At 40.2% G+C, this 23,376-nt stretch overlaps 2 protein-coding genes across 19 annotated transcripts in view; one reads left to right on the top strand and one right to left on the bottom strand.

The window, feature by feature from the left end:
- Positions 1-23,376, bottom strand: part of VEPH1 (ventricular zone expressed PH domain containing 1) — a 243,864-nt gene that overhangs the window by 162,416 nt on the left and 58,072 nt on the right. For all 18 annotated transcript variants that reach the window (XM_047448927.1, XM_047448922.1, XM_024453748.2 and 15 more), the window contains one exon: positions 6,165-6,331. In XM_047448927.1, coding sequence (XP_047304883.1) covers positions 6,165-6,331 — 167 coding nt within the window. The remainder of the gene's footprint in view (positions 1-6,164; positions 6,332-23,376) is intronic.
- On the top strand, positions 14,693-21,476 carry PTX3 (pentraxin 3). The gene is made up of 3 exons (NM_002852.4): positions 14,693-14,906; positions 15,356-15,757; positions 20,209-21,476. The coding sequence occupies exons 1-3, from the start codon at positions 14,777-14,779 to the stop codon at positions 20,820-20,822; spliced, it is 1,146 nt and encodes a 381-aa protein (NP_002843.2). The 5' UTR covers positions 14,693-14,776; the 3' UTR covers positions 20,823-21,476.

Genomic DNA, 23,376 nt, shown 5'->3' on the forward strand with positions numbered 1-23,376 from the left:
CTATCTGGCTTTGGGAAAGTGACCCAGCTAGTGTGAGGCCCAGATGGTTTTAGGATGGTTTTAGGGAAGGTAGTATGACTCTGATGGTCAGTGGGGGACATGAAAGTTGAAAGGCTGATAAAGATGAAGTGCATGTGAAAAGCCACCTCACCCACCAAGTCACCCTTTGGTACCACCACTGTTCTTAAAAACCTCTCCAAACATTGGCTTCTCTATTTATAAAACAAAAAGCTTGTTGTGGGAAATAAATGAGATGTCTGTGATACACCTATATAGTGCCTGGTATATGGTATGAGCTCAGTCACTATTAGTGCCATTGTCTACCCTCCCCTGCCTGCTGGGACCAGCACTGAGGAAACTCCTCCTCTTGTAGCCTTCTCTACAGTGGAAGTGGAAGCTGCCCAGTTATTTCCCCAGTTGGGGACCTCTGCTCTAGGTGATCGAGTAATCCTTCAACTCCACTCCTCACCCCAAACTCTACTGCAGTTTTGCTCATCCTTTCTGTCCTCAATCCTTTCCAAAATTGGTTCTCTCATTTGTGCTCTGGAATACATTCCCCATCTTCCTCCAGCACCTTGTTCTGTCTCCTATTTCCTCTCACATCTTCAATCCCTTTATTCTTATTGTGTCTTTAACTCTCCTTGTTTTTTCTAAACTTCCTGAATTGGCAGTCCATACTCACATGATCCTTTCCTAACCTTCCCTTCCATATGCAATCCACAATAAATGACTGACTTCTCCCACCCTGCCTCAATGATGCTGCCTTTTATAAAAAAGATAACAACTGGTGAGCCCCAATTGCCAAATCCAAGGTCAATGCCTGTCTCTTGTCTTTTTTACTTCTCTAGACCTTGACCCTGTTGAGCCACTTTTTCCCCTTTGGAGAATACAGCATGACTTTTCCTCGTTCTTCATGTCTTCACTATTTTTGTCTCTTGTTAATTTGTTCATTTCTTAATTCAATAACTTTTTATTAGAATCCTACTATGTAACCCAGCACTACACCAGGGAGTGCATATGAATATGTAGATAAGAGTCCTATGTACCTTAAGGAGTTTATAGTGCACTGAAAGAAACAGTCGTGCAAAAATAACAACATATTGCTCTATGTGCAAAAGGGACAGTGCATACCAGTAACACAGAATTCCCCAGTCCTCTGCCTGAGCTCTAGCCTTGCTCCTCAAAATGTTGTCCCTTGAAGCAATAGCAGCAGCACCATATGGGTATTTGTAAAAAGACACAGTTGGGGTACCCAATTGTGTCTACTGAACCTACTGAACCAAAATCCCTGGGAGTGAGGCTCAGGCATTGGTCATCCTTGTTGGTCTCATCTCCTGAAGCTTCCTGTGAATTCTGCTCTCCAATATTCAAGATTCCCAGCTCTGAATCATCTGCATAAAAGTATGCATTCTTCAGGATATGGCCTGATGTCACACCCTTTGTGGGACTTCATGGCATCTATTTTCCTCTAAAGTAGAATTCATTACCCCCATCTCTGTTTATGCCATTTGCAAAGAATTTATCACCTTGTTTAATTTGATTCTATGTTTATTGTCAGTTTGGTTCTATGAATGTTTATTGAGCACTATCAGATACTATGGAAAAGTCTAAGATACAGAGGAAAGAAGAAATCATTTCTTGTCAAAGGAGCTTGCAGTCTATTGTGGCTAATTATGCATATAACTATTCTTTCTTGCCTTTCTTTGAGTAATTTGTATGTTGAATACAAATGTTCCAGTCTTCACTTAAGCATTGATTTTTTTTTCAAGTGGTGGATAGTGAAACTATAAAGAAATGGGACAACCATAATTGAATAACCTTGGACTAACAATTCATATTCACTGTGCACACATGTTGGTTGATATGGTTTGGCTCTGTGTCCTCTCCCAAATCGCATGTTGAATTGTACTCCCATAATTCCCACATGTTGTGGGAGGGACCTGGTGGGAGATAATTTGAATAATGGGGGAAGTTTCCCCCAAACTGTTCTCATGGTAGAGAATAAGTCTCACGAGATCTGATGGTTTTATCAGGGGTTTCCACTTTTGCATATTCCTCATTTTCTCTTACTGCCACCATGTAAGAAGTGCCTTTTGCCTCCTGCCATGATTCTGAGGCCTCCCTAGCCATGTGGAACTGTAAGTCGAATTAAACCTCTTTTTCTTCCCAGTCTTGGGTATGTCTTTATCAGCAGCATGAAAATGGACTAATACAGTAAATTGGTACCAGTAGAGTGGGGCGTTGCTGAAAAGATACCTGAAACTGTGGACGTGACTTTGGAACTGGGTAACAGGCAGAGGTTGGAACAGTTTGGAGGGCTCAGAAGAAAACAGGAAAATGTGGGAAAATTTGGAACTTCCTAGAGACTTGTTGAATAGCTTTGACCAAAACCCTGATAGGGATATAGACAATAAGGTCCAGGCTGAGGTGGTCTCAGATGGAGATGAGAAACTTGTTGCAAACTACAGCAAAGGTGACGCTTGTTATGTTTTAGCAAAGAGACTGGTAGCATTTTGCCCCTGCCCTAGGGATTTCTGGAACTTTGAACTTGAGAGAGATTATTAAGGGTATCTGGCAAATAAATTTCTAAGCAGCAAAGCATTCAAGAGGTGACTTGGGTGCTGTTAAGGACATTCAGTTTTATAAGGGAAGCAGAGCATAAAAGTTTGGAAAATTTGCAGCCAACAATGTGAAAGAAAAGAAAAACCCATTTTCTGAGGAGAAATTCAAGCCGGATGCAGAAATTTACATAAGTAACAAGGAGTCAAATGTTAATCCCCAAGACAATGGGGAAAATGTGTCCAGGGAATTTCAGAGGTCTTCATGGCAGCCCCTCCCATCACAGGCCCAGAGATCTAGGAAGAAAAAATGGTTTCATGGGCAAGGCCCAGGGCCCCCACGCTGTGTGCAGTCTAGGGACTTGGTTCCCTGTGTCCCAGACACTCCCACAATGACTGAAAGGGGCCAAAGTACAGCTCGGGCCATGACTTCAGAAGGTGTAAACCCCAAGCCTTTACAACTTCCATGTGGTGTTGATCCTGTGGGTGCACAAAAGTCAAGAATTGAGGTTTGGGAACCTCTGCCTAGATTTCAGAGGCTGTATGGAAATGCCTGGATGTCCAGACAGAAGTTTGCTGCAGGGGTAGGGCTTTCATGGAGAACCTCTCCTAAGGCAGTGCAGAAGGGAAACGTGGGGTCAGAGCCTCCACACAGAGTCCCTACTGGGGCACCAGCCTGTGAAAGCAGCCAGGAGGGAGGCTGTACCTTGAAAAGTCACAGGGGTGGAGCTGCCCAAGACCATGGGAACCCTTGCATCAGTGTGACTCGGATGCGAGACATGGAGTCAATGGAGATCATTTCGGAGCTTTAATATTTGACTGCCCTCCTGGATTTCAGACTTGCGTGGGACCTGTAGCCCCTGGATTTGGCCAATTTCTCCCATTTGGAACAGCTGTATTTACCCAATGCCTGTATCTAGGAAGTAACCAACTTGCTTTTGATTTTACAGGCTCATAAGCAGAAGGCACTTGCCTTGTCTTAGATAAGATTTTGGACTGTGGATTTTTGTGTTAATGCTGAAATGAGTTAAAACTTTGGGGGACTGCTGAGAAGGCATGGTTGGTTTTGAAATGTGAGGACATGAGATTTGGATGGGCCAGGGATGTAATGTTATGGTTTGGCTCAGTGTCCCCACCAAAATCTCATCTTGAATTGTACTCCCACAATGCCCAAATGTTATGGGAGGGACGCAGTGGGAGATAATTTGAATTATGAGGGTGGTTTCTCCCATACTGTTCTCATGGTAGTGAATAAGTCTCATGAGATCTGATGGTTTTATCAGGGGTTTCTGCTTTTGCATGGGGTTCCTCATTTTCTCTTCCTGCCACCATGTAAGGAGTGCCTTTTGCCTCCCGCCATGATTCTGAGGCCTCCCCAGCCATGTGGAACTGTAAGTCAAATTAAACCTCTTTTTCTTCCCAGTCTTGGGTATATCTTTATCAGCAGCATGAAAATGGACTAATACATTGGTACCCTCCAGAATCCATTTCAAATTCCCTCTTCCTGGCAGCCTCTAGTTTCTGTCTGTGTATCCTCCAGTTCAACAGAAGCTCTAGGGGTAGAGCATGCATCCAAAACAGACAGAATATCAAGACTTCTGTTGGATGTTGGTGGCAGTGATAGATGTAGGAGAAGCATAGTGCGAAGAGAGCCCCTAGCACCTATTTGGAGATGACAGGGAGAAAGCCTGTGGAAAATGGGAGCCTAGAAGTCAAATCTGAGAAATCAAAATAGAGAAATTGTTTGTTCACATTATTTTTGAACCAAACCTCATCTGATTTTTTCCCATCACATTAGCTATAAATTCCTTTCCTTGATGAAACTACTGTGGTTTGGGTGTTCTATTACTGATAATCGTAAACATCCTAATTGTTAAAATCTTCTACTTGAATCCAAAGAACAATAACTGATTTGCTATCTGAAAAATGAACCTTTGCTGTCACTATAGGCTGATTAATTCACAAATAAAGTTAAGTGTAGGTCTTTCTCTTGGTCTTACCTGAGAAACTACAGATTCCTAGAACTGCATGACGACATTAAACTTTCTTTAACAACATTCTACAATAGCCACAGATTCGCAAATCTGTTGCTTTTTTTTTTTTTTTTTTTGAGACAGAGTCTCACTCTGTCACCCAGGCTGGAGTGCAGTGGCTCAATCTCAGCTCACTGCAACCTCTGCCACCCAGGTTCAAGCAATTCTCCTGCCTCAGCCTCCCAAGTAGATGGGATTACAGGCTCCCGCCACTGCACCTGGCTAATTTTTCTTTTTTCTTTTCTTTTTTTTTTTTTGAGATAGAGTCTTGCTCTGTTGCCCAGGCTGGAGCGCAGTGCTGCAATCTTGGCTCACTGCAACCTTCGTCTCCCAAGTTCAAGCGATTCTCCTGCCTCAGCCTCCTGAGTAGCTGGGATAACATTCACGCACCACCATGCCCAGCTAGCTTTTGTATTTTTAGTAGAAACAGGGTTTCACGGTGTTGGTCCTGTTGGTTGAACTCCTGACCTCGTGATCTGCCTGCCTCAGCCTCCCAAAGTGCTGGGATTACAGGCGTGAGCCACCACACCCAGCCTAATTTTTGTATTTTTAGTAGAGACAGGGTTTCACCATCTTGGCCAGGCTGGTCTTGAACTCCTGACCTTGTGATCCACCAGCCTCGACCTCCCAAAGTGCTGGCATTACAGGCGTGAGCCACTGCACCTGGCCCATTTGTTGCTTTTCATTACTGTATCTGTCTGGTTAATATTTATTTATTTATTTTTAAGGCAAGGTCTCACTCTGTCACCCAGGCTGGAGTGCAGTGGCATGATTTTGGCTCACTGTAGCCTCAACTTCCCTGGCTCAGGTGATTCTCCCACCTCAGCCTCCTGAGTCGCTGGGACTACAGGTGCCTCCTCCATGCCCTGCTAATTTTTGTATTTTTTGTATAGACAGAGTTTCACCATGTTGTCCAGGCTGGCCTCAAACTACTGGCCTCAAGTGATTCACCCACCTCAGCCTCCCAAAATGTTGAAATTACAGGCAGGAGCCACCATGCTCTGCCTGTGATGGTTAATTTTATGTGTCAACTTGACTGGGTCATGGGGCACCCAGATATTTGATTAAACATTATTTCTGGGTATGTCTGTGAGGATTATTTCAGATGAGATTAGCATTTGAATGGGTAGACTGAATAAAGCAGATTGCCCCTGCAATATGGGTGGGCCTCATCCAATTAACTGAGGGCCCGAATAGAACAAAAAGGTGGAGGAAGGGAGAATTTACTCTCTCTGCCTGATTTTGTGAGCTGGAACATTGGTCTTCTCCTGTCCTCAGACTGTAACTTATGCCATCAGCTCTCCAATTCTCAGGCTTTCAGACTTGAATTGAAACTATGCCACTGGTTTTCCTTGGCATCTAGCTCGCAGATGACAGATGGGACTTCTTAGCCTCCATAATTTCATGAGCCAGTTTCTCATTATACAAACAGAGTAAGTAGATGAGCGCTTTCACTTAAAAAAATGGGCATTTGTAAATGTATGAGACAGGAAATCCTAAGCACATACGCTGTTCACACACAAAGAAACATGCCTGGTTGTGTGCACCATGACATATACAATGTACTTTTTACCTCGAGTTGTTTTTTCTTTGCTGCTACATGCAAAAGCCGTAGTAGATGGTACTGTTCTGGCTGTTCCAGCTGAGACATCAAGGCCAGGAGTTCTGTCAGGTGTCTATTAATTGGCTGAGGCTGCTTTTCATACACAGCAGGTAACACTCTCAACAACATGGTGTTACCTGTTGAGGGAACAATAAAGGGAATGATGACTTTATCAGGCCATGAGCAACAGAAATAACATTATTACCAATGTAATAATATTTGCACTTACACATTAAATAGCACAGACTGATGGCCAATTCTTTTGCTAAAAATAACATGGTACCTTATTCTGAGATTAAAATGTGATTTAATCCGATTCCACAAAAGGAAATATTTTATGATATAATCAGCACCATTAACTAATGAAAAATTTTGCTAAGTAATGCACCATGGGGATAGAGGAACTTTGACAGTAATCAGACCACACCCTTGAGAAGGAAACAGTTCCAATAAAGAATTCCTGATGATAAACAAAATTTAAACGATGTTTAAATGAAAACTAAGCAGTGCTGTAATCATGGACCTAAATGAAACTGAACAACAAAAAAAGTGCAAAGGAATGAATTCACATTCCTGGAAGACACAGAATCATAATTTAGACAACTCACATACAGAAACTATGCCTTATTTTATGAATAGTTTAAGAAGTAGTAATGCAAATTTAAATCCCCAATTTCTGCACTATTTCAAGGGAAGTTTAGCCTCAGCTGATTTGTCACACATAATTTCCTCAAAGATATGTATAGACAACTAGATTTATAATGGCAAAACCTCAAGAAAACTATTACATAACGTATAGAAACTTATCTGCAATCAACATATGGGCAACATCTGCTTATCACTCTATGGTATAGATTTTTTTTCTCAAAATCCTCACAAGTACTTAAATGTCTCAGGGGAATTGGTTTCTAGGGATTTTTTGAACAAGAATTTTTTTGACTCTACTTTTACTTTAAATTTGGCTTTGTATATAGAAGCCATACACAGAAAGAATCAAATAAGAAGGAATTACACATATATGGACCTTCATTAAATGGTAGGAACATGCCTATATATAAAAGACAATTTAGATATGATCATTAAAGAAAGAAGGCCAGAATTTTCAGAATATCAATATCTAAATTTAACGAAAGCGTGATTCTGGATAAAACTGAATGAATTGAATGAATTTGGGAGATAATAAAAAATGAGAATTGTTTTTTCCACATGTAGTTCATAGAATAAGTCTAAAACAGGTTTTATCATGTTCCCCAGAATACAAGTTGTTGGAAATATTTAGAGTTTTCTTTTAAAAGGTTGTGTTCGTCAGTATTTATTTTCAATAGTTTAATTTTCAACAATTTGTTTTGTTTTCTGTTTATTTTACTATGAGCGTCTCCTTAAAAGATCAGGAATTTTTTAATGCAATACCCAATTTGTAAAGCCCAAGTTAGATTATAGAACTTAGTTATGAGGACATACTGATCAACTGCTAAAAATGGTCACATTAAAAGGGACTGTAGTTGCAGTCTAAGACAGGAAACTGTTGCATGGCATTTCGGTACAAAACTCACTACAGAGGCCCTGGGAGCCTTGAAGGGAAAAACCCCAGATTAGTCATTTTTCAGCTGACTTGAATTTCAATCAAATAATACAAAAAACAAATGCAGAACTTTTGCAGAAATCTTATAAATTCCATTAGTCAATAATACCTTCTTTTAAATTATGAAATAGTTCAAGTCATCAAACAAATGTAGGCAATAATATAAGGAACATTGGTGTGCCTACCAACCAGATTTGTCAAAACTTAACCTTATATGATAATTGCTTTTCATCCCATTTGTTTCCTTTTCTCCCCAGAGGCAACCATCATCCTAAAGGGAGTATTTATGATCTCCATAAGTATTTTTACACTTTAATTACATGCGTATGTATCAATAAACATTATATAGTATTGTTTTGGATGCTTTAAAATTTTATGTGAATACCATCATACTCTACACATCCCTTCGCAACATATTTTTTTCCTATTCAACATTTTGTAGGAGTTATATCTCCAAGAAGCTCTCCTTCATTTACTCTCACAGCCATGTGTTATTCCAGTGTATAAATATGCAACAACTTATTCATATACTCTCTGTGATTGAAAGACATTATGTTGTCATTATTATTCATTGCCTTAATCAATAATGCTGAAATAACTGTCTCTTTGTGCAAAAATGAGAGATATTTCTTAGGGTAGTGCTTCTGAGTCTAATGTGCTTAGAAGTCACCTGGGCATATCTTTAAAACACAGATGTTGATTCAACAGGTTGGAGGTAGGGTTTGAGCGTCTGAATTTCTAACAAGCTCTCAGGTGACACTGATGGTCCATTGACCAAATAGTTAGTTAAGTGGCAAAGCACTGAGTATGTCCCTAGGAGTTGACTTTGTAGATGTTCCAAAATTTCTTTGTGAAGCAGTTGTATTCATTTTCTATAGCTGTTATTAGAAATTATCTCAAAATTAGTGGCCTAAAATAACACAAATTTATTATCTTATATTTCTGTAGTTCAGAAGTCTGACATAAGTCTCCCTAAGTTAAAATCAATGTGTGCCCAGGGCTGGGTTCCTTCCTGGATGCTCTAGGAGAGAATTTGTTTCCTTGGCTTAACCAGTGATATGCTTTGGCTCCGTGTCCCCACCTAAATCTCATCTTGAATTGTAATCCTCACGTGTCAAGGGAGGGACCTGGTGGGAGGAGGTTGGATCATAAGGGTAGTTTTATCCATGCTGTTTTCATGATAGTGAGGGAGTTCTCATGAGATCTGATGGTTTAAAAGTGGCAGTTTCCGCTGTACTCTCCCTCACTCCTGCTGCCATGTAAGACGTGCCTTGTTTCCCCTTTGCTTTCCGCCAGGATTGTAAGTTTCCTGAGGCCTCCTCAGCCACGTGGAACTGAGTCAATTAAACCTCTTTTCTCCATAAATTACCCAGTCTCAGGTAGTATCTTTATAGCAGTGTGAAAACAGACAGATACATCCAGCTTTTAGAGGCTGCCTGAATTTCTTGGTTTGTGGCCCCTTTCTCCATCTTCACAGCCAGCAACATGGCATCTCTCTGATCCCTGTTCCTTCATCTCATCTCTCCCCTTGATTCTCTCTTCTGCTTCCCTTTTCCACTTTTAAGGACCCTTGTGATTGTATTGGGTTTAACTGAATAATCTAGGATTATCTCCCTATCTTATTTAGCAACCTTAATTCTATCTGAAATGCATATTACATAACATGTTCACAGGTTCCGGGGATTAGAACATGGACATCTTTGGGGGACCAGTATTCTGCCTACCACCAAGATTATGACAATCTACTCCCACCAGCAGCATGAGTGTTTCTGTTGGTCCACATTCTTGCCAACATTTGGTTGTGACAGACATCAGTGTTTGCTAATCTGATGGGATGTATCTAATATTTTTGCTTTAATTTTCATTTCCCAATTACTTGTTATATATTATATATAACAAATTATATATATACATATATATATAATTGTTTCTGAGATGGAGTCTCACACTGTTGTCTGGGCTGGAGTGCAGTGGCGTGATCTTGGCTCACTGCAACCTCCGCTTCATGGGTTCAAGTGATTCTCCTGCCTCAGCCTCCCAAATAGCTGGGATTACAGGTGCCTGCCAACACACCCAGCTAATTTTTTTGTATTTTTAGTAGAGATGGAGTTTCACTATGTTGGCCAGGCTGGTCTCAAACTCCTGACCTTGTGATCTGCCCGCCTCAGCCTCTCAAAGTGCTGGGATTACAGGCGTGAGCCACCACACCCAGCCCTTTTCATATATTTATAGGTGATTTCCTCACTTGTGATTTGGCCATTCACATTCTTTGCCTATATGCTATTAGGATGTTGCCATTTTTTCTTATTAATTTTTAGAAGTTCCTTAATTATTCTGAGCTACTGAATGAATTTTTGATTTATTGATTTAAAATTATATTCTTAATATAGTCAACTGTTTTCATTTTTTTACTTCATGGTTTAGGTTTTTTTGTTAGAAATTTTTCTGTATTCCAGGGTCATAAAAATATTCTCCTATATTTTCTCTTAAAGGCATTATGGTTTTGCTTTCTTGTAGTTGTCTTCAATCTGTCTGGAAATGACTTTGGTACATAGGAGGAAGAAGTTTAATTATATGTTTTTCTTTGTATACAAATAATTTTTTCTATTGAGTAGTCAATTGTTACTCTTCTGATTTGCCACACCTCTTTCATATATTAGGTTTTCCATATGTGTTTGGGTCTGTTTCTGGGCATTTATCCATCTCTTCATCAAGTCTACATTTTCTTAATTACAATAATTTTATAATAAATCATTATATCCCATAGGACCTACTTCCTGACCTCCTACTTCTTCAAGCTCTTCTTGGCTACTCTATACAAATTTTAGTATCAGTCTGTCAACATCCTTGAAAAACCAGACTGGGACTTCTTTTTCATATTGAACATATTGACTAATTTGGCATAACTGACATCTTCGTAAAACTGAGTCTTCTCATTTAAGGAGATAATTTATCTTTCTGTCTATGTAGATCTTTTTATGTTTTTAAATAAGGTGTTATAATTAGCTTTGTCTTATGTTAAATTGTTGCTTAGGTATCCCATAGCTATTTTTGCTACTGTAAATGAAAACTTTATTTGCAAAGGCATTTTCAATTTATCTGCTGGTATTAATAAAGCAATAGATTTTTGTATGTTGATCTTATATCCAACAAAAGTTGCTCAGTTCTTATTAATATGTCTTTTGAGTCTCTTAGATTTTTCTTTATGTAGATGATCCACTCATGATAAATAATAACAACTTCATTTCTTTCCATCCTAATCCTTATGTTTCTTCTCCTTATGTCCTTATGTCCTACTTTATGGGCAGGGACTTCCAATACACACTTTGATGAATAGAGTCACTGTCCACGGGTATCCTTGTGTTAATCCTGCTTTTCAAAAGTATGTTTCCAAGGATTTACAATTACATATGTATCTGTTTCTATAGGTTTTGGTATTTATGTTTTTTTCAGTTTAAGTAAGTTCCTGTCTGCTTTCTAGTTTGATTATTTTGAGTGCTGAATTTTATCAAACATTCTTCTCATCTATTGATATGATGATTCTTCTCCTTTAAACTGTTAATGTAATAAGTTAACAGCTATTCTAACATTTAATCAATCTTGCAGTCTTGGAATAAACTCAACTTGCTTATGATATATTTTTATGCACATTGCTGTGCATAATGTGTATTTTTATGCATATTGCTGTGTTTGGCTAATACTTTATTTAGAGCTGTTGCATCAACATTCTTAATGAGAGAGATTGCAGTTTTCCTTTCTTGTATTGTCCTTTTCTCTTTTTGGTATCATACTTAGTAGACATGTAAAATGAATTTAGCACATTCCTGAACACTCTATTCTCAGAAGCAGTTTGTACAAAACGGGGATTATGTGTTCCTTGAATGTTTGGTAGAACTTGTCCATCAAACCATCTGGGCAGTACTCTATATACTTCATTATATCAAGCTTTAAGTTATGTAGTTTAAGTTTCTGTATCCTTTGGCAGGCTTTTTTTTCGCATTTGAATGATCAGTTATGATATATGTGAACTTATCAGCTTTGTTAAAATCTCCCTCCATGATTATGGATTTGCCCATTTCTCCTTATAATTCTGTCAACCTTTGGTTTATATTTTTTGAAACTATATTACTAGATAATTCAGAGATATCTTCCTGTTAAAGTATTTCTTTGTATCATAATTTAACTATCCTCTTTTGCCTAAGTCTATTTTTTACTGATATTACTACTGCTATGCTAGCTTTTTTGAATAATACTTGCTTGGTGTGTTCTCTTCCTCCCCTCCAATTTAAAGCTTTTAACTTTTAACATTTCTACTTTATGTTTTATGCATAGCTTTTGTAAGTGATGTATAGCTGGATTTTTAAAATATTTCTTCTCTCTCTCTCTCCTTTTCTTTTTTTCAGGGTCTCTTTCTGTCGCCCAGGCTGGAACGCAGTGGTGTGATCACAGCTCACTGCAGCCTCCACTTCCCAGGCTCAAGTGATCCTCCTGCCTCAGCCTCCTGAGTAGCTGAGACTACAGGTGCATATCACCACACCAGATTAATTTTTAAATTTTTTGTGCAGATGAGGGTCTTGCTATGTTGATCAGGCTGGTCTCAAACTCCTGGCTTCAAGTGATCCTCCTACTTTGGCCTCCCAAAGTACTGGGATTCTGAACGTGAGCCCCGACTAAAATATTTCTATATGACAAATAGAAATATTTGTCTCTTAACTGGAAAATGTGTTTCATTAATATTTATGGTAATTATTGGTATATTTTGATTTAATTTTAGCAAATAATATTGTACTTTTAACTTATCCTTCTCTGTGCTTTTCTTTCCTCCTTCATTAATTTTTTTTTCATAGATCAAGTCTTTCTTTAAAAATTCCCCCTGCACCTTCTATTCGGATGCCTATGTCCATTTGGTAGTTGTCCTTAAACTTATAACAAATATTTTTGAGCAAAGCAAAATTAATTAATTTCTTTTTCGTCCTCCTGAACAATGAAATGATTTTAGAATCCTATTACTGAACATAAAAGCAGCACATTTTAGATTATTTCCTTATATCTGTCTTCCAGTTCATTAATATTCTTTTCAGCTTTGCCTAATTTGCCACTTAATCCATGCCTTGAGCTTTTAAAATTTTCAATTAACTTTTTTTTTTAATTCTAGAAGTTTTATTTGGTTCTTTAAAAAAAATCACCTAGCCTTTTTCTTTTTGACAATGTCTTATTCTTTTCTCATATTTCCAATTCCTTCTTTTAGAGCTTCAGTAGTTTTAAACATATTTATTTTCTAGTTTTTTGGCTGATATTTCAACTAAATGCAGTTCTTGGGGAGAGGTGTCTAATCCTTTTTGGTTTCTGCTGATTCTCATTTATAGTGGTTTGCTTCCTCATATGTTCAAATATCATTGTGAATTCTTTTTTGTTTTCACAGTGGCAGATAGTATATATTTGAATTCTAAACATATCTGAGGGCAGGCCCAATTTCACAAACTCAAAGGGACCTTGTAGAGTTCAAAGAGAGACATGATTGCTTCCTACCTCTTTGTGCTAGGGCAGAGTGGGATTGTACCTACTGAAATACAGTAGGTAACCCTGTGAGGGTCCTGGCTTTCATGAGGATCTCCCTTCTAACTCTCCACCTTTGGCCTAAGCTTTGCTTCCACATGGTCATCAACATTTGGTGGTTATAGAACTAATAACCCCTATCTCACTTCACTCCTATGCCAGAGGGGCCCTAGCATCAGCTCATGGGATTGTTGTTTTTGCTTTCCTCTCTATCTTTGGCTCCGGGATTTTCCCCTTACTTTAATGGGAGCTCATCTGTACCTTTTAAGTTTTTATTAATATCATGTGAACACAGACCTGTATATATTGTTAGAAGCAGAAATCTCTAAGTTTACTTTTAAAACATGATCCTTGCCTCGAAACCTTGTAGAATAATATAATGTCCACATAATACCAAGTTATGAAAAGAAACATACCTAAATAACTAAATAAGTATATTCCTTTTTTCCCCCAGCTTTTTTTCCCCATTCTAGGTTTACCCAGTTGTACTGTGTTGTTTGTCATAGGCCGGGTGAGGTGGCTCACGTCTGTAATCCTAGCAATTTGGGAGGCGAAGGCGGGTGGATCGCCTGAGGTCAGGAGTTCGAGACCAGCCTGGCTAACATGGTGAAACCCTGTCTCTACTAAAAATACAAAAATTAACTGGGTGTGGTGGCGGGTGCCTGTAATTCCAGCTACTTGGGAAGCTGAGGTAGGAGAATCGCTTGAACCCAGGATGCGGAGGTTGCAGTGAGCCGAGATCACACCATTGCACTCCAGCCTGGGCAACAAGAGCGAAATTCAGTCTCAAAAAAAAAAATTATCTATAAAAGTATAGGTGCAACTCCTCAAGTATTAAAGACAAGATAGCTCGGATTGGACTTGACTTTCAGAGCCATAACTATTCTTAATATGTTGGTTTATCTTGGAATCAGACCATTTTCAGTTTCAACCTGTAAAACAGTGTACAAAGGAAACATGGAAAGTTTTCTATATATAAAGGGTTGTGAAATAATAACAGCTCACAGAAAATGCTGAAATGATGATTTGCTTCAGTACCCTCTGAAATTTCTCCCCTACCACCCCTCCTTCATCCCCATTGCTATCAATTCAAATTACAACAGCTAATTCTCAGGAGAACAGTAGAAGCCCAGTTTCTCTCCTCTTTCCCCTCTGACCCTCCTCCAATTAATCTGACTGCAGCGTAAACCTTTGCGGTTTAATATTGTGCAACTTCCACATTTCCCTCGCTCTCCCACCCAGCCCCCTCCCCCACCAAATTCAGGGGAACTCCCGTTACCGCAGTGCCACCAGCATTACTCATTCATCCCCATTCAGGCTTTCCTCAGCATTTATTAAGGACTCTCTGCTCCAGCCTCTCACTCTCACTCTCCTCCGCTCAAACTCAGCTCACTTGAGAGTCTCCTCCCGCCAGCTGTGGAAAGAACTTTGCGTCTCTCCAGCAATGCATCTCCTTGCGATTCTGTTTTGTGCTCTCTGGTCTGCAGTGTTGGCCGAGAACTCGGATGATTATGATCTCATGTATGTGAATTTGGACAACGAAATAGACAATGGACTCCATCCCACTGAGGACCGTAAGTTCACTTTAACTGTTTCTCTGCTAACCCTGACTACATATCCACCTCTTGGTCTAAATAACACACATATACTTTGTGGCCAGTGAGACAAGTTAAAAATTTATAGCTTGTTATGCAAAAGTGAGAAGCACTTGAAGAAAGATGGAGGTTTCAAAGTTATTTCTGTAACGTACATAATGGGTTGAATCATATCAAATCGTCAATATTTGACTGTTTTGAGCTACATAACCGGCGATTTCATAGGGTACAACTTAATCTATACCTGAATGAATGATTTCTGTCGTTTCTGAGACATTTACATGCTGTTTTTCGGAGGTGTCCTTAAAGGGAAGGGGAATGCCAGGAACGGGCTGCAACTTGGCACCACCGAGGGAGGTCAGCTTTTACAAAGCACATCCAAGGCAGGCCTGGGCGGGCTGCTAACGTGTGTGTATCCCGTACTCTAGCCACGCCGTGCGCCTGCGGTCAGGAGCACTCGGAATGGGACAAGCTCTTCATCATGCTGGAGAACTCGCAGATGAGAGAGCGCATGCTGCTGCAAGCCACGGACGACGTCCTGCGGGGCGAGCTGCAGAGGCTGCGGGAGGAGCTGGGCCGGCTCGCGGAAAGCCTGGCGAGGCCGTGCGCGCCGGGGGCTCCCGCAGAGGCCAGGCTGACCAGTGCTCTGGACGAGCTGCTGCAGGCGACCCGCGACGCGGGCCGCAGGCTGGCGCGTATGGAGGGCGCGGAGGCGCAGCGCCCAGAGGAGGCGGGGCGCGCCCTGGCCGCGGTGCTAGAGGAGCTGCGGCAGACGCGAGCCGACCTGCACGCGGTGCAGGGCTGGGCTGCCCGGAGCTGGCTGCCGGCAGGTAAGGAGGCAAGCGGGGCCGGGACCTCCCACTGCGGCTTTGTTCCGGGAGCGCGCGTAACGGCAAGCCAAGCCAGGCAACCTTCTAGGGGAAGCTTTCATGGGAAGCGCGCGCGCGCGCGCGCACACACACACACACACACACACACACACACACACCCCTATTTCTGCATGCGCGGTCACAGAGCTCAGGCACACCATACAAGGCGGGAAAATTGGCTTTAAAAAAGTATTCCTCAGTCCTAAGGAGCCCTAAAGAGAGTTGTGGAGGTAACCATCACAGTCTTGAAATAGACGTCTAGGGCCCCTTACACCCGATCCGACTAAGCGCTGCAGGAGTCCACTGGCCCGTTATAACCGTGATCCCTCTTGCCGCCCAGCTTCCCTCCGTTAGGGATTTCCACGTCTTCTAATTTTATCCTGCCTCTGTCTTTAGAGGAGCTCTGGTTTCCCGCACTATTTCAGGGCCCAGGCTAACGTTTAGGGATGTTTTCCAGCCCCTCAGCCGGCCCCTCCTCTCCGCCCACCCATTCTCAGCAAGAAACTTGAGGCTAAAGCTAATCTCCCGAAGGGTCAGCGGAATTCTTCAGGGGTCCCCCAGCCCCCGGGGTTTGTGGAATTAGCGCGACAGGGGAGGTCGGAGGGTGTGCGGTTTGGGATTCAGCGTGGAACAGTCAGGTGTAGGAGCCAATCCGTGTAGGGGATCCCAGCTCCACCCCAGGGATTCAGAGAATTGGGGCCAAGCAGGAGAGAGACTGTTCAAACCACAGGCAACTTCTCAAAGTCCCATGTGACACTCCATGAATCTCCAAACAGACATGGGTTCCCAAAATAATACATTCTAAAGATGGTTAAAAGAAAGAAATAGAAGATTTGGAGCCAATCAATACTCCTTTGTATGCCAAAACTTCTAAGAAATGGTGGTGTGACAATCATTTTGGATTGTATTAGAAAATCAGTGTCCTAGGTAAGAAAATATAACTTGCACTTTTCCTGAGAATCCTTCCCTGTATTTCCAAGAAAACAACTTTTGCTGGATGGGGAGGGGGAAGAAGCATGTTTCATTTAAAGTTAAAGAATTTTATGTAATGAGAGCATGTTTCATTTAAAGTTACAGAAACCATATCATATTTCCTAAATATTTGAGGGGTGCTTGTCAGTAAATACTAAATAGGGCTTCAGAGGAGAAAAAGCATAAAATCAAATGTACACTAGATTCTCAATGTGACAGGAGAGAAATTAGAATTCTGCAGCCATTTTAATGGATGAAATGTCTTGTGTTTCGCAAACCACGTAAAGTCATTGTACATATAATGCACCTGAAAAACCGAAGAATTACTCTATTTTTTATCTTCATCTTTGCATATTAGTTAGAGCAGAAGAGGGATGCATTTCTGAATTCTAAGATGTTAATCCTTATTACATCCAATAATACTTTTACCCATATGCTTTGATTTATCTTCTCTTGGTCTCCAGCCAGCTTGGCTCCTAACCATTCTGTTGTTAGCCTCCTAAGAACCTGGTTTTAATTTTGTTTGGTCTTTGATAATCAGAAAAACCTATTAGTTAAAAGCCATTTCATAAGAGAGTTTCTGACATTTTAAAGAGGTATTAAGAGCCTCGTTTTTGGGTATCCCTGGTCCCCAAAAGAGGATCACCAAAAATAGCCAACATGCGGTTCCAGTCCATGAACTTATATAGCCAGCGTAGCCTAGAGGGAAGCTGAGTCTCTGAGATGCAATCCAGGAGTGCTTTGGAATGCAATCCTGACTGCCTGGGCTTATTTAAAGAGGAAATCACTTAATTCGATTGCAGTAGGCACCCTCTTGAACACTACTTTTTTGTTTTTTTCTTTGAGACGGAATCTCGCTCTGTCGCCCAGGCTGGAGTGCAGTGGCGCGATCTCGGCTCACTGCAAGCTCCGCCTCCCGGGTTCACTCCATTCTCCTGCCTCAGCCTCCTGAGTAGCTGGGACTACAGGTGCTCGCCACCTTACCCAGCTAATTTTTTGCATTTTTAGTAGAGACGGGGTTTCACCGTGTTAGCCAGGATGGTCTCGATCTCCTGACCTTGTGATCCACCCGCCTCAGCCTCCCAAAGTGCTGGGATTACAGGTGTGATTGAACACTACTTTATTGAAACTTTATAGAGACTATATCAAATGCCCATGGATATGGTGATTTTTTTCAGTGATTTTTATTTGATTTTAATTAACACAGCTGGAAGAAAAGATGTACCTAGCAATTTCATTTGAAAATAGAATCACTGCCTCATTAAAAATTAATTTTAAAAAATCTTCAAAAGTTCAAATTATTTAGTGAAAAAGTATCAAAGCATGACAGAGCCAGTTTTGTGTTTTAGTATTGTAGTTACTTTTATATGATTATCTGAATGCCAATATTTTATTTGACTATCCCTAACACTAAAGGATAAGGTTCATATTTGTTTAATGTTTTCAGGATAGAGCCTACCCCTGAGCCACTTGTAGGAATCTGACATAGTTTACCACACTTTTACATGGATGTTTGGTTTCTGCAAGTTCTTTCTCTTTACCAGTTATTCTGGAACCATTCTGGGAGTTTGCTTTTCAAAGCTGTCTTATGGCATATCTTCTTTAGGTTGTTATACCTGCCCTAATTTAGGTGTTTTTAAAAAAATACCTACATACACATACACACATATATATACACACACATTTATATACATATATGTATGTATACATACATACATATCCATATGTATATATGTGTGTATATATACGTATACATACATATATATATATTTATGTATATAGATGCAGAGCTCACCTGTTCTTTCCCAGGGACACGTAAAAGGTTTTCGTTTCAGCATCTCCAGCTTCCCAAATGGCTAAGTCGCCTTGAGATGGACAATGGTGGAAACTTACTGAGCTTTCCACCTCAAATTTGAAAGTCCCCCTCCCAAGTGCTCTTTAGCAGAAACATGTTCTCCAACCAGGCCCCTTGAAAGAATGTACTTCTCTTAAAGATTTTCAATTACTGCTTAAATAGTAATTATAAGCATGTGGACAAGGTAGAATTTTTAAACACATTTTTGGTCTATTCAGCTCTTAAGTGCTACATACTTGCTGCTTACAGACTTGCAGAATATTAGGAGCAGAATGGAAGGGCCTTTTTTAGATAACGCTAAAGCCTAGAGGAAATTATGGTGCTCATCCAAAGTTGCATGGCTCATTAGTAGTAACACCATCTGGATTCTAGCCCTCCTAGAGAAATCTAGGGGTTCTATTAATAAGAGGCACTGTAGTGTGCTGATTAAGGGCGTGGCCTCTGTGACCAGACTGCAAAAATTCAAACTCTAGTTTTACTGCTTATCAGCTATGTAAACATAGATAAGTTACTTTTACCTAAGTTTTCTCATCTGTAAAATAGGAATGTAAAAGACTATCTCTTATGGTTGGCATAAGGATTAAAATGACAAACAAAATGATTAGAACAGTATCTGATACATAGTGAATGCCCAATAAGCTTAGTCATCATTATTATACATTGTTGCCTTTCAAAGGTAGTTTTCTAAAAACTCTGCAAAGTTTACAAATATCTGAGAACATTTGGTGTATTAAAATGTATTCTGCAGGCCAGGTGTGGTGGCTCATGCCTGTAATCCCAGCATTTTGGGAGGCTGAGGCAGGCGGATCTTGAGGTCAGGAGTTCAAGACCAACCTGGCCAACATGGTGAAACCCCGTGTCTAAAAAAAAAATACAATAGTTAGCTGGGCGCAGTGGTGTGCACCTGTAGTCCCAGCTACTCCGGAAGCTGAGGCAGGAGAATCGCTTGAACCTGGGAAGCGAAGGTTGCCGTGAGTCGAGATCGCACTACTGCAATCCAGCCTGGGTGACAGAGTGAGACTCTGTCTCAAAAAAAAAAAAAAATGTATTCTGCAATAACATCACTATCCTAGAATTTTGCTGAAAAATGCATGTTGGTAAAGGCTAAATGGAGCGAACTAGGTCTACTGAATTTCACAGGTTTATTATTTTAGGAACTTGGTGGTGGCAAAAAGAGAGAACCAGGTTGGGTTCTGAATTCTTGGAAATTATAGAATTATTGTCTGAAGTTAACTGATAGTGATTCAACTTTTTTAAAAAAAAGCAGTAACAAAGAAAATATGCAAATTGGAAGGGGAGGTAGTTATGGCTTTTATTATTTTGTGGGTTTGGACTAGTTGGCTCTTCTATTTGCGTGCTTTCTCTTCATTTAGATGCTTCATTGGATAAGACAATTGGCTTTCCTTTTTCTCATTTTCTTTGCTCTGCAGAGATTACAGTGGAAGCTTCTTAAGTCGTAATGTAGGGTTTCACATAGCTTTCAATTGTAATAATTAAAATTCTTATGTTAAATAACTAATGCCAGAATAATTCTGAATTAATTTATATTTTCTTTAATATTCTTCTTATTTTCTTGCTACTCTAGGTTGTGAAACAGCTATTTTATTCCCAATGCGTTCCAAGAAGATTTTTGGAAGCGTGCATCCAGTGAGACCAATGAGGCTTGAGTCTTTTAGTGCCTGCATTTGGGTCAAAGCCACAGATGTATTAAACAAAACCATCCTGTTTTCCTATGGCACAAAGAGGAATCCATATGAAATCCAGCTGTATCTCAGCTACCAATCCATAGTGTTTGTGGTGGGTGGAGAGGAGAACAAACTGGTTGCTGAAGCCATGGTTTCCCTGGGAAGGTGGACCCACCTGTGCGGCACCTGGAATTCAGAGGAAGGGCTCACATCCTTGTGGGTAAATGGTGAACTGGCGGCTACCACTGTTGAGATGGCCACAGGTCACATTGTTCCTGAGGGAGGAATCCTGCAGATTGGCCAAGAAAAGAATGGCTGCTGTGTGGGTGGTGGCTTTGATGAAACATTAGCCTTCTCTGGGAGACTCACAGGCTTCAATATCTGGGATAGTGTTCTTAGCAATGAAGAGATAAGAGAGACCGGAGGAGCAGAGTCTTGTCACATCCGGGGGAATATTGTTGGGTGGGGAGTCACAGAGATCCAGCCACATGGAGGAGCTCAGTATGTTTCATAAATGTTGTGAAACTCCACTTGAAGCCAAAGAAAGAAACTCACACTTAAAACACATGCCAGTTGGGAAGGTCTGAAAACTCAGTGCATAATAGGAACACTTGAGACTAATGAAAGAGAGAGTTGAGACCAATCTTTATTTGTACTGGCCAAATACTGAATAAACAGTTGAAGGAAAGACATTGGAAAAAGCTTTTGAGGATAATGTTACTAGACTTTATGCCATGGTGCTTTCAGTTTAATGCTGTGTCTCTGTCAGATAAACTCTCAAATAATTAAAAAGGACTGTATTGTTGAACAGAGGGACAATTGTTTTACTTTTCTTTGGTTAATTTTGTTTTGGCCAGAGATGAATTTTACATTGGAAGAATAACAAAATAAGATTTGTTGTCCATTGTTCATTGTTATTGGTATGTACCTTATTACAAAAAAAAGATGAAAACATATTTATACTACAAGGTGACTTAACAACTATAAATGTAGTTTATGTGTTATAATCGAATGTCACGTTTTTGAGAAGATAGTCATATAAGTTATATTGCAAAAGGGATTTGTATTAATTTAAGACTATTTTTGTAAAGCTCTACTGTAAATAAAATATTTTATAAAACTAGCTCACGTCATTTAATTATAAATTTAAGAGATGTTTTGGAGCAAACTCGTACTTTTCTCTTTTCATTTAAAGTAGGCAATTAGTTTTCAGATACTATTATGTAAACAGCATGGTTAATATTGTTAGGAATGAGCAACTATAGACTTGTTTTAAGTTTGGCTTCCTATAAATCATAAGCAAGAAATATTATCTCTGCCAAGTCAATTCATCTCTGTGGGTTTTAGTTTTCTCAGCTGAGAAATCAAGGAATTGATGAAATAAGAATCTCTAGGACTCTTCCCATTTGACAATTCTAGGAGCTTATACAACTTTCTGTACTGTGTAACATAAAAACAAACACCAAACATGAATTATCACAGTTCCTCAGATACACATGATGCTGCAAGACATGGCTTAGGAATGTTATTTGGGAGACCTAAGAATCTGGAAAAGAACTCCTGCCCTGAAAGCACACCCCATTCTCTTCCTTACTCAGAAGGGAGAGGTCAAGCCCCTTCACACTGTGGATGGGGAGGTAACTTTTCCCCACCACACTAGTATTCTCCTGTAGATTCTATGTGAGGGCTGATAGAAGGGCCTCACAAAGCTGATTCTGAAATGTTGTGGGCCCACAGTGATGATATGTCCTCTGAAAGATAGGGCATGGACAACCACAGGACATTTCCTCTTCATGAGGTTTGGAGAATAGGACCAGGAGTAATTTTGTAACTAACTAGCTAGGTGTCAGACAAGTTACATAACTCCTCTGCTTCTTCTCAGTAAAAGGAGGTGATTGGACTCAGTGCCTTTCAGCAATAAAATTCCATGAATCTAATAATTTTTGAGTATGTTCATCATATAAGTATAGCTTCATTCCACTTGTGAAACCCACAAACGAGGCTAAGCCTCTAAGAAAATCACTTGTAGTTAGGGGCTGATAGGCCAGTCTCAGACTCTTGGAGATCACATAATTCAAGGCTCTAGGCACACTGGGCACATGCAAAGTCCCTGTCTAGCCATTGTCTATATGACTTGAACTCCCAGCTGGAAGAAGGAAAACTAGACCCAAAACTTAAGCAGAAAATTAGGCATGATTTAAATTCCTTTACATGCTGCAACACGAATTATACATGTTTAAGTGATGCCAGATGTTGCAGGCCGAGATAAATGCAAACTCATATGCTGACAGAATTTAATATAAGAAAACTTTTAATTTTTTTAAGTAATTACATGTTTAGGGTGAAGAACAAACAAATAGAAGAAAATAAAATAATACTTGGGTTAAAAAAGTAGAAATTTCATCTGTTAGAGCAGTAAGTCTAGCTAGGAGTTCTAGGGACTTCTAATTGTTCCCAGATATTCATTTTCTCTCTTTCTCTAAATGACAGAATCCTAGCTTTAGTGGAACATGTGACCACTCAGAGTAAATTCTATATTTTTCAACATTACTTGCAGCTTGATGCAGCCATATAACTATGTTCTGACCAACGCTGAAATATTATATGTGATTCTTTTCCTCCTTCTGTCTGATTGGAATATGGTAATGGGCTGGAATTTCAGCAACCATCTTAGACCAGGAGACCCCATGCAACAATACAGAAGAAGCATGGGTTCCTGGTCATTGTGAAGCCATCTAGCCAGCCCTGAGCTGCCTGCCCACGGACTTCTTTTACGTGAGAGAAAAATATACTTTTGTCGTGTTTAATCTTTTAGTTGGTTGATCACTCAATCTAATTTTGATCCAGTAATTTTTATTTTAATTTAAAAAACTACAGCCAGGCGGGGTGGCTCAAGCCTGTAATCCCAGCACTTTGGGAGTCTGAGCCAGGCAGATCAGAAGCTCAGGAGATCGAGACCATCCTGGCCAACATGGTGAAACCCGTTTCTACTAAAAATACAAAAAATGAGCCAGGCATGGTGGTACGCACCTGCAGTCCCAGCTACTCGGGAGGCTGAGGCAGGAGAA

The sequence above is a fragment of the Homo sapiens genome, chromosome 3, assembly GCF_000001405.40.
Source record: "Homo sapiens chromosome 3, GRCh38.p14 Primary Assembly".
NCBI lineage: Eukaryota > Metazoa > Chordata > Mammalia > Primates > Hominidae > Homo > Homo sapiens.